Here is a 24,575-nt window from a genome sequence, read left to right on the forward strand (position 1 = left end):
CGGTGGAGGTTGCAGTGAGACGAGATTGCACCACTGTACTCAGCATGGGGAACAGAGTGACTGTCTCAAAAAAAAAAAAAAAAAAAAAGACAACACCATGAGATTAACCTGTTTCCAAAAAAGTGTTAAAAACTTTGCCAATAAAGACCTAAAAGTATGACTCATTTGCTGATGCATATAGGACTAAGGAGCGTGCTCAGGACACGGATGGAGGGCTGAGGGCTGTGTTAGGGCCTCTACGAATGTTCATATCCCTCCTTAATTTGTATGTTGAATCCCTAACCCCCAATGTGATGGTACTTGCAGATAGGGCCTTTGGGGGTGGTTAGGTTTAGATGAGGTCAAGAGAGTAGGACCCTCATAATGGGATTAGTGCCCTTATAAGAAGAGAAAGGTCGATCGATCAATCTGTCTCTGTGTATCTATCTATCTATCTATCTGTCTCCGCAAATGCCCCAGAAAAGGCCTTGTGAGAACCTGTGAGAAGGCGGCCGTCTGAAAACCTGGAAGACAGTCCTCTCCAGAACCCAACCACGCTGGCACCCTGATCTCAGACTTCCAGCCTCCAAAACAAAGAGAAAATAAGTGTCTGTAGTTTCAGCCACCTGGACATGGTATTTTGTTAGAGCAGCCTGAGATGGCTAAGACAGAGTATAAACTGGCGCAGTCTTTGGGAGAGCAGGTTAGCAATGTCTAATAAAATTAAAACTCTTCAGATCCATTGATCAGCTTCTGAAATGTTTCCATCATTACACAAAGACATGAAAGCATGTGTACTGTGTATTTATTTGTGTGTGTGTGTGTGTGTGTGTGTGTGTGTGTACTCTCTATTTATTACAGTATGCTTTAGAAGAGCCAAATTTGAAAACAACCTGAACTTCTATCAGCAAAGTTTTTATCACATAAGCTATGGCACATCTACCAGTGGAATACAGTATATGACTTGAAAGAACAAGTCAAGTATTGTACTTATGTGGAAAGACGTTTGAGATATATTGCTATGCACGTTGCAAAATGCTAAATATAACAGCATCCATGGTTGTTTTTAAAAATTAACATCTGCTTTAAAATGTGGAAGAACATACAGCAAATTGTTAAATGATCAGTTTGGGAGGAGGTTTAGGATTATGAAAGATTTTCACTTTCTACTCCATAGAGATCGTGATATGGTTTGGCTGTGTCCCCACCCAAATCTCATCTTGAATTGTAACTCCCACTTCCCACATGTCATGGGAGGAACCCAGATAGGGGGTGATTGAATCATGGGGGCGGGCCTCTCCTGCCCTGTTCTCATGATAGTAAATGAGTCTCATGAGATCTGATGCTTTTAAAAAGGGGAGTTTGCCTGCACAACCTCTCTTACCTTGTCTGCCGCCATATGAGACGTGCCTTTCGCCTTCCACCATGATTGTGAGGCCTCCCCAGCCACGTAAAACCGTAAGTCCAATAAACCTCTTTCTTTTGTAAATTGCCCAGTCTTGGGTATGTCTTTATCAGCAGCGTGAAAATGGACGAATACAGATGGTGAGAAAGCACGATAATTTTTAAATTCTCTATCAGTGTGCACAGGGTGCCAGGCACTATTCTGGGGGCTGGTGATACAGCAGTGATGGAGCCCTACAGGTCCTCACTGCTGTGAGCAGATCTTTCACTGGAGGAGACAGGCAATTAGCACATGGAGGTGTAATGAAGAAAGACAACTGGGTATGGCACTGGAGACTAAAGCGGAGATGAAGGTTTCCGTTCGAGCTGCTTCCTCCACCCTTTCCCACTTGTCTCCAGAGGGAAGGAGGAGAGAGGGCAGATTCCTCCCCGGTGGCAGAACGGGAGGCATCAATTCCAGGCAGGAAGACTGAGGAGCAGGTATCCTGGTTCAGAGAGGTGTCTGTCCAACCCCTATGCTGAGACATGCTCTGTGGTTTGTGGTCTTTGGGGTGGCCACAGGACAGCCATCTCTAAGGGGGCATTTGAGCAGAAACTGAAGGAAGGGCAGGACATAGAAATGTCGGTGTCCAAAAGAAAGTTCCAGGCAGAGAGAACAGGAAATGATGAGTGAATGAATGAACCAGTGAATGGAGGTCATCGCTGGCCAAGGAGCCACACACATGGGTGAGCAAACACCTTGTTCTTCCACCACAAGCCCTGTCTCTCCTGCTATAGCTGTTTAGTAAAGGGGAGGTGACTTCCCTCCCCACCCTGCCCGGTGTCATGGGTCTCAAGTTCATTTCCACCAGGACAGCACTTGGCACCCCCAAGGCCCTCAGCCTGCTGTCCCGTCTGAGCCTCTGCCACTTGCACAAAGGGCAAGGGTGGTGTATGCCCCTCCAGCTCCAGGGTCCTGCTCCTGAGGTGTGTGGGGTGCCAGTTGGGGGCTGCAAGCCTGACTGCCTCCAGCTCAGAGGAAAACCTTTCTCTAACCCACCCAGCTGGCCCCGGAAGTGCCTGGCCACTCTTGATGCATGGCCAACCAAGAAGATGGGGGGCGGGTCCCAGGGGTGCTGGTTTGAGGGAAGTCCGAGGCTTGGATGGCACCTGCCCAGGTACCTCTCCCCGGCTGCGGCCACCCTGAGCCTTGCAGCTGTCAGTCACTGGCTTTGCCAAGGGTTAGAGTCTTTCTCCTTCCCTTTAGTCTTGGTGATGTCTGCAGGGCCCAGCTGAGGAGATGGCAGTGGGCAGGGGCAGCATTTGGGGCCAGTGGTCTATCTACTCAAATATTCACGTGCATGTTTAGCAACAAATCAATAAAGAAGTGGTAAGCCCAAGGGACGTTTCAGTGTGTGAGGAACAAGGTCAATTCCTCTTCTTGTCCCCGTTCTTTTAATCTGCTTCCAGATTCCATTAGGAAATCGATGATGAGGTCTTATAAAAAGAATTTAAAACATATTGCGCAAATTAATAACCTCTGTTACTTTGTGAGGAATCCTTTAAAAAGCAACCTTTGGCTGGGCGCTCACCCCTGCAATCCCAGCACTTTGGGAGGCCAAGGCTGGCAGATCACTTGATGTCAGGAGCTCAAGACCAGCCTGGCCAACGTAGTGAAACCCCGTCTTTACTAAAAATACAAAAAATTAGCCTGGCATGGTGGCGCACATGTGTAATCCCAGCTATTTGGGAGGCTCAGGCATGAAAATTGCTCGAACCCGGGAGATGGAGGTTGCAGTGAGCAGAGATCGCACCACTGCACTCCAGCCTGGGTGACAGAATGAGGCTCTGTTTCGGGAAAAAAAAAAAAATTTACTAAGACTGTATTGTGTGCTGGATATTTTACTTAGATTAACTCTGTGTCTTTCAATGCCAGATAAGGCAGCTGTTCTTATTTAATAACAGGAGCCAATGACTGGGGGAGCTGGGGTTCAAAGCCTGGTCTTACCCAGATGTACACCAACACCCGCCTCTCCCCGTTGGACCCCGCCCAAAAGCAGCTGCCTGAACGCAGCTTGTTCAGAATGGTATTGGAAATCCACAACCCAGACCCGTCATCCTGGGGAACCCCAGGACAAGCACATTCCCTCCCCCAACCAGCTTCACCCCGAAGGCAGAGAAGCCGGGACAGCCAGCTCCTGCCGCTCTCTGAACCCATTTTTCTACGAGCTGAGGCCCGTTCTCACAAGCACACCAGGAACTCGGGAGAGAGGAATTCTCTCTGGACAATCCGGGTCTTCTGGGCAAGCAAGTCTTCCCCCTTATGGAGACAAAGACGGCCACTGGGTCTGGACCCCTCCACTTATAATAGGGCCAGGAGGGCTTCGGTCTATATGATTATTATTACTATTATTACTTCTCTTTCTTCTTTCCTAACTCAGTTACTTAGCCAGTTGCAACAAGGTAAGAGGGAAGGAAAATGTGCCCTGCCTGGTTGATTCATGGATAGGATTTGTGACCTTCTGCTCGGGGAGAGCCTGTGTATACACCATGTGAGTGTCCTGTCCTAAAAAATCGTCACAAGCTTGGGGGCTTAAAACAAAAACGATTCATCTTCCCACAGTTCTGGAGGCTAGGATCCCGAAACCAAGATTTCCTGATGGAATCTGGAAGCAGATTGAAAGAACGGGGACAAGCAGAGACCGCTGGGCCCTGCTCCCTCGGAAGGCTCCAGGGTCGGGGGTCATTCCTCATCTCCCCAGTCTCTGATGGCAGCTGGCGTTCCTCGGCTTGGGGGCACATTGCTTCATTTCTGACTCTGCTGTTGCGTGGCTGTCTCCCCTCTGTGTGTTTTGTGCCTGTTCTCCTCTTTCTGTAAAGACACCAGTCATATAGGATTTAGGGCTCACCCTAATACACTATGATCTCATTTTAATTAAATTAATTGTACCTGCAAAGACCCTATTTCCAATAAAGGTCACATTCTGAGGTTCCAGGTGGACACGAATTTTGGGGGACACTATTCAGCCAGTACATACACTGTGGAGGAGAGGCAAGAGACACCCGAGGCTTGGACACGGTCATCTCATTCAGCAGACAGCACTGAGCGCCCACTGGGTGAGAAGCAGGGAGCTACCGCCCAATCCTGCTCAGCCAGGATGGGCAGGAGATGGGTCCAAAGCTCTCAGAGTGTGGCTGTAACAGGAGAAAGCGGCAGTGGAGGGGTGGAACGGCACCGGTGACCGTGAACAAAACCTCTCCCATCTCTCACCTCTGCGGCACTGGCCTCCCCAGCCTCCCCTGCCAGCGTGAGCTCACCCACGAAGCTCATTTCTGAGCAGCCCTTCCTGGCCTCTGATCTGACTCAGGACTGCGGAAAATCCCTCGTGGCTCAGGGCATGGGCGGCTCAGCCCAGGGTGGCCCTCGTGGGGGCTGAGTCAGCAGAGCAGGCCGCCGCTGAGGTGGTGACACTCACACGTGTGTCACCGTTCATGGAACACGCACACCGATGCAGGCAGACCCAGAGCCGGGCATTTGAGGCCAACTTGAACAGGAAGGAAACACGGTCACAACACTTCCCTCACTAGAGGTGGTTCCTGGGCGGACTGTGGATTCAGATCAGCTCCAATATTTAGCAGTTTTAAAGCTATAATTTCCTGGAAAACGTACTCAATTTCTCTAAGCCTTGTGCTTCTCATCTGCAGAATGGGTACATTCATCCCTAATCCATAGAGCTGCTGTGAGAATTCCATGAGATACTGAATAGATACCACGTATTTCGGACCTGACTCATGACAAGACCAATAACGGGGCCATTGTCTCATCTGTTCTTCTCCCCATAGTCTTTGCAGAGTGAACGCTGAGAATGAGAACTCCTAACGTTTTTCCTTTCTGTCCACACAACTTCACGATTTACCAAAAGCATTTTGTGTAATTTCTCTTCTTCATCTTTCTCATGAAATGAAAACAACAGTTTTCTGCAGCTGACCCTTTCACCAGAGCTTCCAAGCTCCCCAGAGCAAGAACCCACATACCAAGCTATGGCAGTCCTGGACCTTGGAAATCATACGGCCACATCTGCAGAAGGAGAAATCCTTGCAGACGGCAGAGGAGCTGGTGCAATGGCCCAGAGGGAGCAGAACAATTATTTTTTGAAGAATCTTGTCTAACTAAATTATCAGCACTCTCTGTATCCTCAACCTTTAATGACCCTCAGTTCTGTTGAGGTCAGACAATGTGAAACTGAACTAGAAAGTCCATTTTTAAAATCTATGCTGCTATAAATGTGATAAAACCCAGCTACCACAGCAAGGAAAAGAATCTCACTGTTTTCTGGGGTTCCTAGCTCGTCGGAGATGAGTGGGTGACTTCTCGGCTTTTTCCTTGATCTGATGAAAAACCTACCCAAACCCTTCCTTGCTTCTGCACGAGGGGCTGGGAAACTACAGCCCTGGCCCTGCCGCCTATTTTTGTAAATAAAGTTTTATTGGAACGCAGCTACACTCCTTCACTTACACACTGCCTAAGGCTGCTTTTACAAGACAACTGCAAATGTGAGTCGTTTCCACAGAGGCCTCATGGCCCTCAAAGCCAAAATTATTTACTGTATCATCTGGCCCTTCGCAGGAAAAAAAAATTGTTAATTTCTGTTCTACTCTGAGTATCCACTAGTTATCTATTTCTCTCTTTTTAAAAATAATCTTTGTTTTTATAACTGTTTTAGGTTTTGTATTAGTCCTTTTTCATGCTGCTGATAAAGTCACACCCAAGACTGGGAAGAAAAAGAGGTTTAACTGGACTTATAGTTCCGCATGGCTGGGGAGGCATCAGAATCATGGCAGGAGGCAAAAGGCACTTCTTACATGGTGGTGGCAAGAGAAAATGAGGAAGAAGCAAAAGCGGAAACCCCTGATAAACCCATCAGATCTCGTGAGACTTATTCACTATCATGAGAATAGTGTGGGAAAGACCGGCCCCCATGATTCAATTACCTCCTCCTGAGTCCCTCCCACAACAAGTGGGAATTCTGGGAGATACAATTCAAGTTGAGATTTGGGTGGGGACAGAGCCAAACCATATCAGGTTTATAGGAAAATTATGTAGATAGTGCAGAGAGTCTCCCCATATTCCTTCTCCCTCACATACATTCCCCTATATTCAGCATCTTGCATTAATTAGTGTGCTCCATTGGATACAACCGATGAAGCAATATTGATAGATTATTAACTACAGTTCATAGTTCACGCTAGGTTTCACTCTTTGTGTAGTACATTTCCATAGGTTTTAACAAATTGTTTTATTTCATTCAACATTTTATTGTTACTTTTTAATTATGAAAGTAAGCACATGCCTATTATAACAAGTTTGAACAATACAAACTGTATAAAGGAAGTGATGGAAGGTTCCCCACTGTACTTTCTGGGTCAATCCTAACACAGCTGACCACGTGCCCTTCCTGAGCTGTTCCCATGCACACAGCCCTGACACTCGTGGGAGTCTGGGTTTTTTCTAAACGTGGAACTATGCTAGGCTTGTTGCTTGAAACTCGCTTTTCCCACTTAACTGTCTCAGTTTTCTTTCTTTGTTTGTTTGCTTGCTTGCTTGTTTTGAGGCAGAGTTTTTCTCTTATTGCCCACGCTGGAGTGCAATGGTGAGATCTTGGCTCTCCATAACCAGATGCTGTATTGAAGGTATGTGCCCATGTTTAGACACTCAACACAGCCTGTCCATTCATCCTGAAGCACTTCTGGTAGCATTTATGTGAATAGAGTTCTAGAACTTGGACTGTCCAATCAGAAGATGTGAACATTTTTAGCCTGGTGAGAAATGAAACAACTTGGTAGCATTCACACACCCATCCTCCTGCACACAGAGTGGGGACAGGGGGTGCAGTGTAGATCCCAAGGCACCGGGAGCATGAGAAGGAGAGTGTACAGGGGTTAGGGAAACCCCAGGAGGCTTCCTGGAGGAGGTGGGTTATGAGAAGGTGAGCTGGATGCACAGGGTCTGAAGGAGTAGGGGAGGGGGTCATCCAGACAAGAATCACCTGAGCAAAGCCTGGGCCCTTTACGGATCCCAAGGTCAAGGTCACAGGCTGCTCCTTACAAATCGCATCATGCATATTTCTGCTGAGGAGGAAAAGATCTGGTAGCCAAGGCTGAAAATCGGGTCTAGTGTGCACCCTCAGTGGGCTGGGAGGAGGAAGCACTGGGCAAGAGGCACCATTGCAGGCATTCGGGAGATCAGACACAGGTTTGCTTTCCCGGGTGCAGCCTTGGTGGGGTCCCCAAGCTGCCCCAGTCAGGAGCAGACAGGGCCTCACAGTCCTGTCCCCGGAAGCAGGAAAAAAGGGAGGGAGAAAGAAAGAGAGGGAAGGAGGATGGGCAGGGGAGAGAGAAGAACGAAGGGAGAAAGGGGAGAATGCATCGGCCTTCACACACTCCCTAGCAAGACCCAGAGAGTTTATGGCAACATATCATCATAGCCCCAGACTGAGACAGTCCAGAAGAGCATTCACAATGGAATCCCACAGCAGAGTACCACACCACCCAGCCATGAAGAAGAACAAAGTCCTGCTGCACAGAGCACCGGGCGGGGATGGGCACACAGAGAGCCTGGGGCCAACAAGGTCCTCATTGCTCTGTGTTCCTTCCCAATCCCAGTCCCCTCCGCCCCACTCCTCTCTTTTCTACCCAGAGAACTTTTGCTGTAATAACTCTTTTGCTTTCCTTTATAATTTACCACCTAAGCATGTTTTCCGAAATAGAGGATTGCTTTTTTTCTCCAGCAGGTGTTTCTTTTTCTTAAGGCAACATGGAGGCAGGGCTTGTCAGTGCTGGCCACAGGGGTCTGCTTTGTGATCGCTATTGAGTTGTGTTTTGGTTTGTTTGTTTGTTTTGTGCACGTTCTTCTATGTGTGTCGTTATTTAACAATAAAGAAGTTTCTCCACCTTTAAAAGTCTGAAAATTGTTGCTTTAGTCCACTGGCTACATTATACATAAAGTAGATCAGTGTACACCTGTATGTACTCTACTACATGCTTAGAGAGAGGGGGACCTAGGTTTACTCCTCTGCACTTACATGATGTCCCCATGTATGCAGTGCAGCAGGTCCCCAAATAACGTCATTTTATCCAATGTCATTGTATTACAATGTTGATGAGACAAAAGAAATCACTCCCCATCCAGGGGCCACTGTTTGTGTGGAGTCTGCACAGTCCCCCAGTGTCCACGCTAGTGTTCTCCTCTTGCAGCCCAAACTGTGCACATTAGGTGAATTCGCAGGTCTAAATTGTCCCCATCTGAGGGAACGTGGGTGTGGGTGCGCCCCTTGATGGAAGGGTGTCCTGTCCGTGCTGGCTCCCACCTTCCACTCAGAGTTGCCAGGAGAAGCTCCAGACACTCCACCCTGAACTGAAATAATTGGGTACATAGTTATCTTACTTGTTTTTTGTTTGTTTTTCTAAATGTTTTAAATTGTCACATAATAATTGTACATATTTGTGGGGTACGTGGTAATGTTTCCATCCATATGATGTATAAGAGAGTGAGTGGACTAAAGCAATGGTTTCAGACTGTTAAAGATGGGGAAACTTCTCTGAGATGGAGTCTCGCTCTGTCACCCAGGCTGGAGTGCAATGGCTCAATCTCAGCTGGCTACAATCTCTGCCTCCAGGGTTCCAGTGATTCTCCTGCCTCAGCCTCCCGAGTAGCTGGGACTACAAGCGCCCGCCACCACACTCAGCTAATTTTTGTATTTTTAGTAGAGACGGGGTTTCACTCTGTTGGCCAGGCTAGTCTCAAACTCCTGACCTCAAGTGATCAGTCTGCTGCAGCCTCCCAAAGTGCTAGGATTACAGGCATGAGCCACCACGCCCAGCCTAAAGATGGGGAAACTTCTTTATTGTTAAATATGACACAAGTAGAAGAACATGTGCAAACCATTTGATGGTAACCAGATCAGGGCAATGCACCCAGCCCTCATCTCAAGCATTTGTCATGTGTTTGTGTGGTAACATTCATATCCTCCCTGTAGCTATTTGAAACTCTATGATATATTATAATTAACCATAGTCATCCCACAGTTGTATAGAGCATGATGACTTATTCCTCCTATCTAGCTGTAATTTTATGTCCTTTAACAAGTCTCTCTCTTTCCCCCTCTTCCCCCTATCCTTCCCAGCCTCCAACATCCCCTGTTCTACTTTTTTGTTTTTGTTTTTTTGAGACAGAGTTTCACTCTTGCTACCCAGGCTGGAGTGCAATGGTGCAATCTCCACTCACCACAACCTCTGCCTCCCGGGTTCAAGTGATTCTCCTACCTCAGCTTCCCAAATAGCTGGGATTACAGGCATGCACCACCAAGCCCGGCTAATATTTGTATTTTTAGTAGAGACGGGGTTTCTCCATGTTGGTCAGGCTGGTCTCGAACTCCCAACCTCAGGTGATCCACTCGCCTCGGCCTCCCAAAGTGCTGGGATTACAGGCATGAGGCACCACACCTGGCCCCTTGTTCTATTTTTTATGTCTATGAGATCCACTTTTTTTAGCTTCTGTGTGTGAGTGACAGCGTGCAGGGTTTAGCTTTCTGTTCCTGGCTTGTTTCACTCAGCATCATGCTCTCCAGTTCCGTTTGTCTGGAGTGAGTGTGGATGTGGATCTGATCCTGCAATGGAAGGGCATTACCGTGAATGACAGGATCTCATTCTTACATATGGCTGAATAGTATTCCATGGTGTATATACGCCCCGTTTTTCTTTATCCATTCATCTGTTGTTGGACACAAGCCAGGATTCCATATCTCAGCTATTGTGAATATTGCTCCAATAAACACTGGGAGTGCAGATGTCAGCAGAATAAAACTAGGCCCCCACTTCTCACTGCATACAAAAGCCACCTGAAAATGGATCAAAGACCTCAAAGGCAAGACCCAAAACTATAAAACTCCTAGAAAAAACAAAACAGGGAAATGCTTTAGGACATTGGTCTGGGAAAAGATTTTACAAATAAGACCTCAAAAGCACAGGCAACAAAAGCAAAAATAAACAAATGGGATTATGTCAAACTAAAAAGCTTCTGCAGAGCGAAGGAAACAATCTACAAAATGAAAATACAATCTACAGAATAGGAGAAAATATTTGTAAAGTATTCATCTGATGAAAGATTAGTATCCAGAATATACAAGGAACTCAAACACCTCAAGAGCAAAACAACAACAAAACCAATTCAATTTAAAAATGGGCAAATGATGTGACAGACATTTCCGAGAATAAGACATACAAATGGCCAACACATACATGAAAAAAGGTAAAGAAGGCAGATTTCTGCCTTTCTGTCACGGGTGGTGACTAGCTAGGGCTGGTGTCGCAGGTGGTAAAGGTATTTGCCAAGAGAGTAGTAGGTAAAGAAAGGCAGATTTATTAGAGAAGGTATGAGAATATGTTGCAAGGTTGCAAGGTTGCAATGGGCTGTCTACAAAAAGGCAGGGGCTGGAGGGAAGTTTTATAGGGTCATGCTGGAGGGGCCAACAAAAGGAGGTCATGCTGCTGGGGCCACCAGGAACTAGGTCATTGTCATCCTGTCATCCGGTTGTTTGTGATTGGCCATCTCTCAGAATAATTGTTCGTTGTTATTCCCCACCTGGGGCCCTTCCCCACCTGGGGTCCCTCCTGATTGTTGCTTACTTATCTTATCAGGACTCCACACTTTCCCTGATGAGTGTCCTTGGTGCCTTTGTCAAATATCGGATCACTATAGATACATGGATTAATTTCTGTCGATAATTTGTTTCATTGGTCTATGTGTTTGTTTCTATGCCAGTGCCATGCTGTTTTGGTTACTATAGGCTTGCAATATATTTCGAAGTCAGGCAGTGTGATGCCTCCAGCTTTGTTCTTTTTGCTCAGGATTTCTTTGGCTATTTGGGGTCTTTTGGGGTTCCATACAAATTTTAAGATTTTTTTTTCTATTCCTGTGAACTATTTTGACAGAGATTGTACCAAATCTGCAGATTGCTTTCAATAGTGTTACCAGTTTTTAATTTTTCTTAAATGTATGAAAAGCTCATATTTGTTTCGATGTTTAATATTAGAAGTGTTTTGATCTTTATTTCAAAATTTGGGCCAGGTGTGATGGCTTATGCCTATAATCCCAGCACTTTCGGAGGCCAAGGGAGGAGGATTGCTTGAGACCAGGAGTTGAGACCAGACCTCATCTCTACAAAAATTTAAAAATTAGCTGGGTGCTGTGGCATGTGTCTGTGGTCCCAGCTACTTGGGGAGGCTGAGGTGGGAGGATCACTTGAGCCTGGAAGGTGGAGGATAGAGTGAGCCATGATTGTGCCACTGCACTCCAGCCTGGGCAGCAGAGGGAGATACTGTTTCAAAAAAACAAAAAGCAAAAAAATAAATAAATAAATAAAAATAAGACCAACAATAAAAATTTGGCGATGTTTTCGCGACCAAAAATATGCCTTAAGAACTTAACTCTTGTTTACGTCAACTAACCTGTGGTGAACTGGTTGCATTATATGTCATTTTGCCGAAAGTCACAGTTTCCAAGAACCTATCAAGCAAGTTAAGTGAAGACTTACTGTACATACCTATAAGAAAAAGCAACAACAAAATGGGGAGACGCCCCGACACATGGGGGTACGCCTATGTGGAAGGTTGCAGAATCGCTGCTCTCAAAGTTCCGTGTCAGGCCGCCTACCCTGATGCTGTTTCCTTGTCCACGTGAGTCAGTTCTGCAGAGGCCTGGCCTGGCAAGCGCAGCCGTGACTTCTCGCTAATCTTCCTGAGAAGCCGCTCCACCATCCATTCATCCTTAAGAACCCCGGGTGACTCATGACGCTCTGCACAGGACAGTTGAGAATTTATGGGGCAATATGTTTGCCTTCACAAGCCGTCTAAGCAATGATGAGCAATTCAGGCAGCTATGATTAAAAAGAAAAAAAAAAATGTTTTCCATCATCCAGTTCTCCTGAAGAAGCCAAAAACACCGAGGGCTTGAAGTTGTGTTGACAGAATCTTAGCCAACTCCTTCCTAGGGATTTAAACTGTTGCACCATCAATCATTTGCAGAATTCATGGCGATTATCATTTACAACCACAGTTTGAGAGTCAAAATGATCAACCTCAGTCAATACCTACACATGAATTGATGGTCTCAGTCATTTGCCCTAAAGCTGGAATTCTATTTTATTTTTTGACCTCTCCCTCTCCCGAAAAGACAAATCCCAAGTACACATATCAAGGTGTGGTTCAATCCGAGGTCCGTCTCCCCTTGGGGTGCCAAATGCGTCTGGGGGTTCTCCCTCCCTGGGCCGGCTCCACACGGTCGTGGAGCCTACCTTGCCCTGCCCCTCACCCTGTCCCCTGTGCTTCCCTCTCCCTGGAAGCGAGGCCTGGGCTGTCCCAGGGAAGGATCCAGCAGGAGAGGGTGGCAGGGCCGGCCTGGGCTGGGCTGCAGCTGCTGTCGTGGTTGCCATCCTCGGCATGCGTTCGCTGAGGCTGCCGCGGTAAAGCACCACAAACCGGGGACTTAAAGTCACAGAAATTGATCCTCCCAGAGTTCTGGAGGCCGAAAGTTTGCCATCAAGGTGACTGCAGGGCTGGTTTCATAGGAAGGCTCTGGGAGAATCGGTCCCTGCCTTTCTCCAGCTTCAGTGGCTCCAGCAATCCCTGGCTCTCCTTGGCTCATGGCCACGTCACTCTCTGCCTGCATCTTCACGTGGCCTCCTCCTCTCTGTCTCGATGTGACATTTTCTGTCTCCAATAAGGACACTCATTGGATTTAGGGCCCACTACAGCCCAGTATGACCTCTTCTTAATTTCACTACAACTGCAAAGAGCTGATTTCTAAATAAGTGCACATTCACAGGTACTGGAGATTGTGAGCTTGTCTTTTTGAATATTTCTTTTTAGGGGACACAATTCAACCACTACATCCTCCCACAGAGGAGAGCTGAGGCAGGTCTGGCATGGGGGCCCAGGCAGGACTGGAGGAGGGCAACAGCCAGTGGGGGCACTTGGAGAGGCCTTGCCCCCACACAGCAGGAGTGTGGGATGATGTTTAGGATCCTGGCAGTCCATGAGCTCTTGGAGGGAGGGTGGATTATGTCCTTTCCTGAGAGTGGGTAAGCGTGGAGGTGGCACCTCCCTGGCAGCAGTGAGCAGGGGCAGATGGGAAGATGTGTGGGAAAGGGTTGCTTTGCCGCTGTGCCTGCGGGGATACCAGGAGAGGAGTGGGGGGCAGTGGATGTTCCTGAGCTGGCCCTGCGGAAGAGGAGATGGGGTTACCGGAAGAATGTGTCTACCAGAGCTGCTGCATGAGGGCACAGGTGACCCTCTGGAAGAGACAAGGGACACCGGGTGTCCTGCCCTGAGGTTTGGGGGTGGGGCATGATTCCACCTGTAACCACAGCGAACAAGAGAAATAGGCCCAGCTATGCAGCTGATGGCAGCTGGCACAGTGCCTGGCCTGAGGGAGGAGCTCCTTCAAGCAGTGGCTTGACTCATGACCTGGGAAGAGGCAGGGGGTGGGGGAGGCATCAAAATAGCGTTTCTGAGCTGCAGGGGGGCTTTGGTTTGTCCTGTGTCAGGAGTGCCAGAGGTGCTCTCTGGAGGATTGAGGCAGAGGCAGATGAGCGCCAGCCCGCATGGAGGCAACGTGTCTGGGGACACCCAGCGGACAGGGCAGCAGCCCTGATGCTTGGAGTCCTTGAGCAAACATCTCGATCCTGTGATGAGTGCACGACACCCAGTCTCTGTGTGGTTGATGGGGCTGGGTGGAGGCCAGGGTGGGTCTCACCTCCGGCTCACAATTGTTTGCCACTGACTTGTGAACACACCAGCAGTCAGGAGCCCCTTCAGGTGCTTTGGATTGAAGCTTAGACAATTCGCTCTCTTTAAGAAAAATAATATAAAGTCATTAAATCAAAGTAAGATACAAATATGAGTTCCTATTTAGAATGTGAATAAATCACCAGAAAGTGTTAGCGCCATGGAGATTCAGGTCTCTTCCTCTGTCCTTCTGCAATCTCTTTTAAATAGATTGAATTCTGGCATCCTCTCCTCACCTACAACCCTCTATAGCTCCCAGAAGCTCTGGGTGCTCCCTGGGTTGGAGTAGATTGGGCCCCTGGAACTTCAGCTCATTCGCTTCCAGGTACAGCCCCTGCCACCTGCAAAGGGGAGGGTTATTTCAGGCCAGGTGTGGGTATCAAGGGCTGAGCTCCACTGTGGGCTCAGGCAGATCCTCTGTGCCAAGAGGTTTGGAGGCTCCTCCACCTGGGCACCAGGCCCAGCTGGAAGGCAGTGACCAACTTCCTCTTGCACCTGTCAGCCTTCACTTGCTCCCCTCAGACCTAACGCCAGAGAGGAGGACTCCCTCCAGCAGCAAACATGCAATTACGTCCCCTCCTTCTGACCTAGCTCAAGAACTCCACTGGCAGCTCATTAAGTCAGGGGCAGCTTGAAAGTCGCTGCTCTGAATGCCACAGTTTTATGTCACTTGTAAGAAGGGTTGGGGGCGGGTAATCACAGCCCTCTGCACCAGACGAAAGGTGCGCAGGGAAAGGGTAGGTGTAATTGGGGGCCCCTGCAGCTCCTCTCCACAGAGCAGAGTCACGCCCCAGGTTAGACTCTCCCCAGAACTGCTAGCCTGGCCGGGGCCTGCCAGTTGACTTGGGGAAAAGGCAGAGGTGGAGGCCTGGGAAACTGGGAGGCTGTGGGCCGCCATCCTCAGCTCCCCACCGCTCCTGAGCACCCCTTTCTCCGTCTGTCACTCTCCTCTCCTGCTCTGTGCCTGTACATCCAAGCCTGGGTCCTGTGTGGGCTGCTGGGGAAGAGGAAAGAGGGGCTCCTCCTTCTAAACACCCCACACGTAAGCGTGGCTGCTTTCAGTATTTCATTGAATTGCCTGCTACAGTGGGGATTTGGGCAGGATCCCAAATATCTTCCTTGTGTCCCAGAATCCTGTTCATTTTTCTATCTGTGCATCCATCCACCCATGCGCCATCCATTATCCATTTGTCCATCCATCCATCCACTCACATTGATCCACCATCCATCACTCTTTCATCATCTGTCCATCCATCCACTCATCTGTTCATACACCCTCTATCTATTTATCATCCCTCCATCCTTTCATCGTCCATTCACCATCCATCATTCATCTGTCACCCATCGGTCCATTATTCATCCATCATTAGCCCAACTGTCCATCCATCCATTCATCATCCACCCACCATCCATCACTCTCCATTATCTGTCCATCTGTTTATTCATCTCTCCATCTATTCATCCTCCATCCATCCCTCTATCCATCTACCACCCATTCATTCATCATCCGTCCATCTCATGGAAAAGTCTTATGCACCTGCTAACATGCATGCCAGGAGCTGCGCTTGTCCCTGAAGCTACAGAGGCTTTTGAGACCAGGGTCTTGCCCCTCATGGTGCCACTGCTCTACTGGGGAAGCAGACAGAGCAGATTGAATGGGCCCAGCGACAGTCATGGGGCACAAGCGGTGCCATGATCCTGGAGCAGCCACTGAGCTGCCCCTCCTCCTTCCTTCTCCCGGCCTGTCTCTTAGCAGCCCTGCACTCAGAGTTGGGTGCACCCCCAACCCCACTGTCCCCTCCCCTGCTCCGCAGCCTGGGACCGGTTCCTGGGAACCTGCAGGTGGAGGACTCATGGCCCCAGGCAGGGTGATTACCCGCCTCACCCCTGCCAGTCTCCACAAGACTTCCCCTGAGGCCCAGCTCAAGAATGCACTGCATTTTTCTCATCTCAATAAAGGTACAAAGGGTACTTCTGGAGCCAGGAAGCCAAGAAATCACACCCTTTCAGGTGCATTCTTGGCTGCTGTGTTGAGGATTCTTTTTAGGGGGTTGGTAATGCTGCTTTATTGGATAATTTACCTCTTTGACTCAGGCCTGAGGAACGCCAGTCCGCCCCCTCCATCCTAACCTGCAGAACCCTCAGCCTGTGACTCTGGTAACAAGGAGGACCTCAGTTAATCAAGGCAGGGAGGGATGTGGAAGAGCAGGTTGGGAAGAGGGAGGCCCACCCAGCAAGGGGGGCAGTGAGATAAGGAACTGAGACCCTGTGAAGCCAAGTGGCTTGAAGCAAAGTGGCTTGAAGCCCCACATGGTGATGGCAGAGAGAGTGCTCTCGGGGCTGCAGCAACTATTGATTTCATCACTTTCCTTTGCAATGTTGGCTTGTGGACACACCAGCCAGGTGGCCTAAGGATAAACCTTGGCCTTCAAATCTTGAAATTCACCCTTTCCCAGTTCCAGCTTTGACACATTGAGTGACTTAGGGGGAGTCACTTGGCTTGCCCCAGTCTGGGCGTCCTTGTTTTGAAAATGAGTCGGTTACAGCTGTGAGCTCATAGTGTGTCGTGAGAACCGGTGACTTACTAATGCTTATGAATTCACGGTTGGGCTCTCTGAGAGCTCGGGCAGGGCACACCATACAAGGCACCAGGCCCTCGGGGCGGTGAGGAGGGAAGATCAGGGGAGGGAATGTTTCCCCTGTGTGCCCAGCCCCGTGCCCCTCTAGGGCCTGCTCCCAGTGCCCTGTGACCTTGGGCAATAAATGTTGCTATTAATGGTACATCTGTCTTGCCTGCTGGAACGTCAAGCAGTTTCACAGCATCAATCAAAGGCTTTGAGCTTCTGGGAGAAGGCGCCAAGGAGCTCCAAGGTGTTATTAGAAGTAATTGGGTCTGCAATTGGGGAAACCTTCAAAGCTGCCAGACTTAGTTTACTTTACCCACTTTCTCTCTTTCACCTTTCTCCTCCCCCCACTACCTTGCTATTGCCCTCCTTTCCCTCTGCCTCCTCCAACAATTCTTTCTCATCCTGTCTCACCCGCAAGTTGCTCTCACACTTTCCCTGCCAGCGTAAGAACCACCCCCAGCCCCCACAGCCAATAGTCTGATTCTACAGTGATGGACCCTCACACAACCAGGACTGGCAGGAACCCCGGAGAGCATGGAATCCAAACCTCAAACCAGAGAGGTGAAGGTTGTCCATCCATCCATCCATCTATCCATCCATTCATCCATTCATCCACCCATTCATTCATCCATTTATCATCCATCCATCTATCCATCTACCCACTCCATCATCCATCTTTTTGTCTATTTATCCATCATCCCTCTATATATCCATTCATACATCCATCCTCTCCATTTATCATCCACTGATCAATCCACCATCCATCCATCCATTTATCCATTCATTCATCTACCCACTCATCCATCTATCCTTCCACCCACTCTACCATCCATCTTTTCATCTATCTATTCTTCCATCATCCTTCTATACATCCACCTGTCCATCATCCATCCACCAGCCAGCCACTCCATTCATCATCCATCCATCCATCCATTCATCTACCCACTCCATCCACCATCCATTCATCTTCTCATCCACCCATCCATCATCCATCCATTCATCCACCCACTCCATCCATCCACTCATCCACCTGCTCCATCCATCCATCCACTCACCCATCCATCTATTCATTAATCCATTCATTCATGTATCTATCTACCCACTCATCCATTCATCCTTCCACCCACCATCCAGTGCTGACTCTGCCAGGCCTATGTTTCTTCTAAACATACCCAGATAAAGAATTTAGGCCTGCCTCTAAAGTCTAGTCAAGATGCAAAAAACAGGACTCCCCTGGTAGGACAAATGTGGGACAATGCCCTGGCTTCTTACAGGGAGCCCCTTATCCTGCCCTACACAGCCCTGTGGGGCCTTTCTTCATTCTCATTGCCCTGACTCACACTCCATGTTGTTCCTCGCAGGGGTTGGGGTGAAGGGGCAGGGGGTTGACTCCAATGCTCCCCTCCCTGTTCTTCTGACCTCATGACTCCTGAATGCTCTCTGCTGGGGAGATCATGTGCAGACAGGTAAATATGGGTCCTGGAGAAAGAATCAAAGGTGGGGGCAGTTTCATGAGAGGGAGTTCCAGCAAAGGGAGAGTAAGCAGAGAGGACCGCCAGCTCTGCTGGTCCCTCCTCTGCCCACAGTGGGTTCTGAGGACCCTCTGTCATCTTTGACACACATCAAAGTCCTGGGGAAGGCAACAAGTTCCCAGGGAGCAGGACCGCCCAGAGTGGCCCAGGCACTATCTGCATCAGAATCTGGAATCACAGAGGAGCTTGTTAAAAGCATGCATATGTCTGGGCCCGGCCCCTTCGAATTAGGATCTAGGCCAGGCCCAGGAATCTGCATGTTAACAAATTCCCAATGTTCTTTGTACACAGTGTTTGAGAACAGTGGCTCCAGAAGCTCAGTGTGTGGTTGAGGGTGGGATGTTCCCAAACACCCTGAAGCTGATAGTGCCACAGCCTTGCCTATGTGGCTGAGATCCAGGCACAACAGAAGGGCTCTTGCTACCGTTGGGTGGCCCTGTGGAGGTTCCTCTTCTTGTTCTCAATCCTGAACCCAGGGGATGCAGGAGAAGCCTTGGATTTGCAAGGGCAGGGGAGACAGCCAGGCTGGCTTCTTCCTCCACTCAGGACAAGAGCCAGGGTTTGGAGCCAAGCCAGCCCCACACAGAAAAATTCAGAGTGTTTCGAGCCCATCTTCAGCTCCAGCCCCCTGCTCTGTGCCCTCTCCCCTTTCATCTGCCTCCCTGCCCTCAGTTCCCTCACTGTCCACCTCGATCCTCACCAAGGGGATCTGTGGAGTGGGACGCTTTGCTTTATGGGTCTTCTATGATGTGCTGGGCAGCCTGCCAGGTGTTTTCTATAACAACCCACTTACGAAGTGGGCTGGCCTTCGTCCCTTCTTCCCTTCCTTTTTCTGCTCTGCCTTCGTGTCTTTCCTTCTCTCTTCTTTCCCTCCTCTCTTCCTCCCTCTCTCCCTCTTTTCTTATTTTTTATTTTTTATTTTTTTCTGAAATGGACTCTTGGTCTGTCGCCCAGGCTGGAGTTCAGTGGCACGATCTCGGCTCACTGCAACCTCCACCTCCTGGGTTCATGCGATTCTCTTGTCTCAGCCTCCTGAGTAGCTGGGATTATAGGCGGGTGCCACCACACCGGGCTAATTTTTGTATTTTTAGTAGAGATGGGTTTCACCATGTTGGCCGGGCTGCTGTCAAACTCCTGACCTCAAGTGATCCACTCACCTCAGCCTCCAAAAGTGCTGGGATTATAGGTGTGAGCCACTGCACCCAGCCTTCTCTCCCTCTTTTGTTTCTCCTTACTTCCCTCTTCTCTTCCCTCCCTCTCTCCCTCTTTCTTTCCTTCCTTCCTAATATATTTTTTGCTGAGTACCTATAATGTGCCATGCATACTCTAGACCCTGCGAAAGGACTCACCTCAAGGAATTCACATTCTCGACAAGGGGAGACAGACACAAAGAAATAAGCAGGTAAATCTGGGAAGCCTCCTATGGTAGTAAGTCCTTTGGAAAAGATGAAGCTGGGGAGAGAGATTGAGAGGGTCAGAATTTTAAATTGGGTATTCAGGTGAGATTTGAGCAGAGGCCTAAAGAGGTGTGGGAACACCCCAAGCAGGTAGCTGGGAGAAAAGAAGGTTAGGCTGGGAGACCAGTAAGTGCAAAAGTCCTAAAGCAGGACTGTGCTTGTGGCGTTTGACAACAGCAAAAGGCATGTGACCTGAGGTCAGAGAAGAAGCAGAAATGACAAACTACCCCCACACTGCACAGCTGAAAACAACCCATTTTATTTCTTCATGAGTCTGCAATCTGGGCTGGGCTCGTCTGGGCGGCTCTTCTGCTGGTCTTGCTGGTGGCCCTCCATGTGGCTGCTGTTAGCTGGGATGTCAGCTGGGCTGGCCAGAATGGGGGTGCTGGGATGACTGGATTTCTCTCTCTATGTCTCTCCATGTGGTCCCAGGGCCTCTCTCCCTTCTGTGGCCTTTCTGTGTGTTCTCTCCATGAAACTTTTGGCAGGATAGCTGGCCTTCTTATGTGGTGGTTCAGAGCTCCCAAGAGTGCAAAAGTGGAGGCTGCCAAGTCTTCTCAAGGCTTAGGCCCATAAGTGGCACAGCACCACTTCTGCCACATTTAATTAATTAAAGTGAGTCCCAGGGTCCACCACATTTAGGGGGAGAGGACTGTGTAAGGGCATGAATGTTCAAGATGTGTGTTCTGCAGTGGGCAGGTCTATGCAAACCTACCTCCAAAGTCTGAGGAAGCTGAGAGGCTGAAGAAAGAGGCTGAAAAATCCAGTTTCTTAGAAAGAAATATTTATTTATTCATTAATTTTTTTAGAGACAGGGTCTTGCTCTGTCACCCAGGCTGGAGTGTAGTGGCTCAATCATAGCTCACTGCCGAGTTAAACTCCTGGGCTCAAGTGATCCTCTAGCCTCCGCCTCCCTAGGAGCTGGGACTATAGGTGTGAGCCACCGTGGTAATCCAGAAAGAAACATTTAACAGGAACGTGTGAACAGAAGCCATGTCTATATCTCTGTCAGCAGCAAGACTAGATGGTGGATCCCCATTACTCCTCAGACTTACACAGTGCCAGAAGGAAGGTGTAGGACAATTGTAGGGAAATTTCACATATGCAAGAATGCTATGTGAATTTGCCTAAGGACAGGAGTTATGGTCAAGGTTGTTTTGACCTAAGGGTGAGATTTAAGTGGGTGCTCTTACACAACAAACAGCAGATAACTTAGAAATCATAGAGGCCTTCCGGAACTGGGGTCTATTCAAAGTCAGCATGGTGGGTTGGCATCCAAGCTGGAGTTGCTTTCGCCTCCACGTGTGGTTCCCGGGGGCCGGGAGCACAGATCACGGAGGGCAAGGCCCAGCAGCAGAGCCTTGCCTGGAGACCCGGTAGAAATGCCAGTTATCAGGCCCACCCCAGGCCTGCTGCCTCCGAACCACGCTGGCAGGGATTCTGGGGTTCCTCACGCTGCCAGCTCTCTGGCTCTCTACTGTTGAGAACAGTGAATATAGGGCTCTGTAGACTGTTGAAAGGACTTTGGCTCTTGCTTTGCATGAAGTTGGAAGCCACTGGAGAAATGGCTTAGAGCAGAGGTGTGCTCAGAGAATCCCTGTGAATGGGGCAGGGCACTCAAGACCAGGTGGGGGCTGTGGCCAGGACACAGGTGAGAGCCTGATGGAGACGTGGCCCAGGGTGGCGTGGAGGGGAGAGAGAGAGGTGCCTAGGTGGGGACAGTTGAAGTGGAGCCACTAGGAATTCCCAACACATTTGATATAGACTGTGAGGGGGGCCAAGGGTGCTGAGGCAGGATCATGCCTGCAATGTTCAGGAAACCGAGAACACTAACAGGCTAGAAGCAGTGCAGTGGAGAGACGGAGCAAGTGAAATGAGTGTTGCTTCCAGCTGTGAAGTTCCAGGGTGTTTGTCACCCCCTGGTCCCTCTCAGGCCTCAGCTGGACCAACCAGAAGAGTGGCATTTCCACTGCAGAGCTAAGGAGAAAGATTGCTGCAGGTGCGGGAGGCAGCCAGGAGCTCAGCTGGGATGAGTTCAATGTGGATGCTCTTAAGACACGAACAGCTACGCAAGTCGAGAGGTCTGGGGGAGCCATACAGCCATGGAGGTGGAGCGCTCTCCATCCTAGAGATGGGTCTATTTTGTAGTCAGCATCTAGGTACCTAAAGTCTTGGGACTAGATGGATTTTCTTTTCTTTTCTTTTCTTTTTTTTTTTTTTTTGAGACGGAGTTTTGCTCTTGTCCCCCAAGCTGGAGTGCAATGGTGCGATCTTGGCTCACTGCAACCTCTGCCTCCTGGGTTCAAGCGATTCTCCTGCCTCAGCCTCTCGAGTAGCTGGGATTACAGGTGCCCACCACCATAGCTGGCTAATTTTGTGTATTTTTAGTAGAGATGGAGTTTTACCATGTTGGCCAGGCTGGTCTCAAACTCCTGACCTCAGGTGATCCACCCACCTCAGCCTCCCAAAGTGCTAGGATTACAGGTGTGAGCTACTGCTCCTAGTCGACTGGATGGATTTTCTAGGATGTGAGGGTGGAGAAAAGAAGACGTGAGGGAGGCAGCAGAGATTGAAAAGGTGTGGGGGTAGAATGATGCCCTTGCTGAGGTTGAATTTTTTACAAGTTAAAAGTATGACTCTTATGTAACAGGAGCATCTGTCAATGGTTTATGGAACTCAGTATGGAAGCCAGCATGGTGGCAGAGCTGGTTCAAAAAGTAGAAAAAGAATGAAAGACTACAGTCTCTGACAGAAGGCATGCTGGAAGGATGTTGCCAGATCACAGGGCCCTAGGGTGCAATAAAACAGTCCCTGTTGGGTGATGATCTATTGTTCAGTAAGCTATCAGCATCTCGACAAGACAAATTCAACTGTATTGCCAGCAGATAGAGTCAGTTGCATCACTGTCCATTTTCTTCAAGTTAATATGAACCCTGGCAGAGATGTCAAATGTCCCATCAATGGAAAATAGTCAAAGCAAGAGGCCGTGCCCCTGAGATAACTAGCGGTCTCTGACATGCCACCACCGGTTCCTGAGAGCTTGTTAACAAGACAGTGTCTGACCTGAGATAAGGAGGTGACCATCGTTTCAAAACAGTTGAGAACTAACTCCTGCATGTTGGTTGTTGCTGTCACTAACTATAGAAGAGAAATCCACGTGGGATCATCTAAACCTGGCAGAGGTTGCATGGCCAGAATGTGCTGGGTCACACTCAAACTCTGGTCTCTCTGACACCAAGGACCACAGATGCTGAGTCCAGCCAGCACTTTCCAATGACCTCAGTCCCTCTCAGGACAGGCCCATCCAAGGAGGATTTGCCTCAAGGGGAAAGCAATGACTAGCCCAAAAAGAATGACCTGGCAGGGAAGTGCCTGGGCTGGGGGAGGCACTTCCAATACCCTCCCTAAAATGCAATTTTTATCCACTTTTCTTTGCACAATATTTATTATTTCCAAAGAGTGTCTAAAGACCGACTACAGAGGAGAGATTCCAGCCCCCTTCATGCTGCAGATTGTTAGAGCTAGGGCTGCACGTTCCCTGGGACAGGGACAAGCCCATGTTAGGAGGCTGCTTCTCACGGGGAGTGCCCTGAGTGTGGTGGATGCTAACATTTTGGGTAATAGAACAAGACACAGGCTTTCACTGAATCTGTCTTTTCAGCAAAGGTAAAGAAAAAAAAGGCAGAAAGGAAAGAAATCATCCTATGGGTACTGTGGGAGAGGGCCAGGAAGAGCCAGAGAAATCCACAAAGTTCAAAACGGCCAGACCCTATCAGGTTCCCCAGGGAGCCAGCAGCTTATCACAGCTTAGTCACAGGGTTGTGAGAAAACCCATGCCTCACTGGAAACCCCCCAAAGAACAATGACCCCCTTGATCCAAATCACGTCGTGGCCCCCGGAGTGCTCAGATCCTATCATCAGGAACACAATATCCCCATTTCAGGGCCTCCGTCAGAAGGCTGGCCGGCACATCCGTGAGTCACAGAACGGAAAGGAAGGCAGCGCGCATGTTCATGGAAAGAAATCCTGTTTGTCTCTCTCCTTTCTTCTGATACAAATGCAGACAGTTTCCCAGTTGTCAAAATTGAACATGATACGAGGAAAATAGCTTGGTAAAAAACATGCATTAGTCATTCAGCAGTAAAATTTTCCAAGTTTTACTCATCTCATCATCTTGACCACTAAATGGACTTTCAACAGTGGATTTCTCTGAGAGTGGCACAAGTGTGTTAAGGAATTGTCACAGGCATGGCGCCTGCTCTGAGCTCTGGGGGCTTAGACCCCTCAAAAGCTCACAGCCCCTGGAATTCACTAAGCTGCAGAGCACAGGGGCTACTAAATATTTCTCCAACTGGACAGACTTTCACGTGGGGATAGACAGGATTGAATTACCCAGATTCAGAGAAAAAGGGTCTATTATCTCATAGAACAGTCTGAAGTTCAACCAGGAAGCCATATTTTCCACTTAAAACCACAGGGCAGTTATCCAATCTCTGTGCAATTTCATCAGAGGAGAGGTGAGACTGTCGGGGGGCGGCAGGGCTGACTGGGAGGCTGTGGAGAGGGTGTGTTTAGGATGGGCGACCTTTCCTGTGGGCTAAGGTAGGAAAGCAGAAAACAGTTAGTGTGAGATTCTTGGTGTCCTCAAGAGCAGCCTGTGTAACAGAAAAGACCGTTCTTAGTTCCTTCACTTTTGATTAACATCGAAGGTATTGTTTCACATTTCTAATGTCTAGTTTTCCTTGGGTTTTTAA

The 24,575-nt window shown here is 48.9% G+C and overlaps 1 long non-coding RNA gene across 1 annotated transcript, besides 2 other annotated features; it reads left to right on the forward strand.

Moving 5' to 3' along the window:
- Positions 2,416-2,936: an enhancer, noted in NCBI's record as "H3K27ac-H3K4me1 hESC enhancer chr21:43040871-43041391 (GRCh37/hg19 assembly coordinates)". NCBI's record gives its function as "activates a minimal SCP1, AML or CMV promoter by ChIP-STARR-seq in naive H9 embryonic stem cells {active_cell/tissue: H9 hESC(naive)}" and the evidence as "EXISTENCE:reporter gene assay evidence [ECO:0000049][PMID:30033119]".
- Positions 4,001-5,200: an enhancer, noted in NCBI's record as "BRD4-independent group 4 enhancer chr21:43042456-43043655 (GRCh37/hg19 assembly coordinates)". NCBI's record gives its function as "activates an origin of replication core promoter dependent on BRD2, P300/CBP, MED14 and CDK7 cofactors, and independent of BRD4, by STARR-seq in HCT116 cells {active_cell/tissue: HCT116}" and the evidence as "EXISTENCE:reporter gene assay evidence [ECO:0000049][PMID:35650434]".
- Positions 19,586-23,492, forward strand: LOC105372812 (uncharacterized). The gene is made up of 2 exons (XR_937741.1): positions 19,586-19,766; positions 22,472-23,492. It is a non-coding gene; the product is annotated as an uncharacterized LOC105372812 (long non-coding RNA).
- Positions 23,493-24,575: the final 1,083 nt, after the last annotated feature.

The sequence above is a fragment of the Homo sapiens genome, chromosome 21 (genome assembly GCF_000001405.40).
Source record: "Homo sapiens chromosome 21, GRCh38.p14 Primary Assembly".
Lineage (NCBI taxonomy): Eukaryota > Metazoa > Chordata > Mammalia > Primates > Hominidae > Homo > Homo sapiens.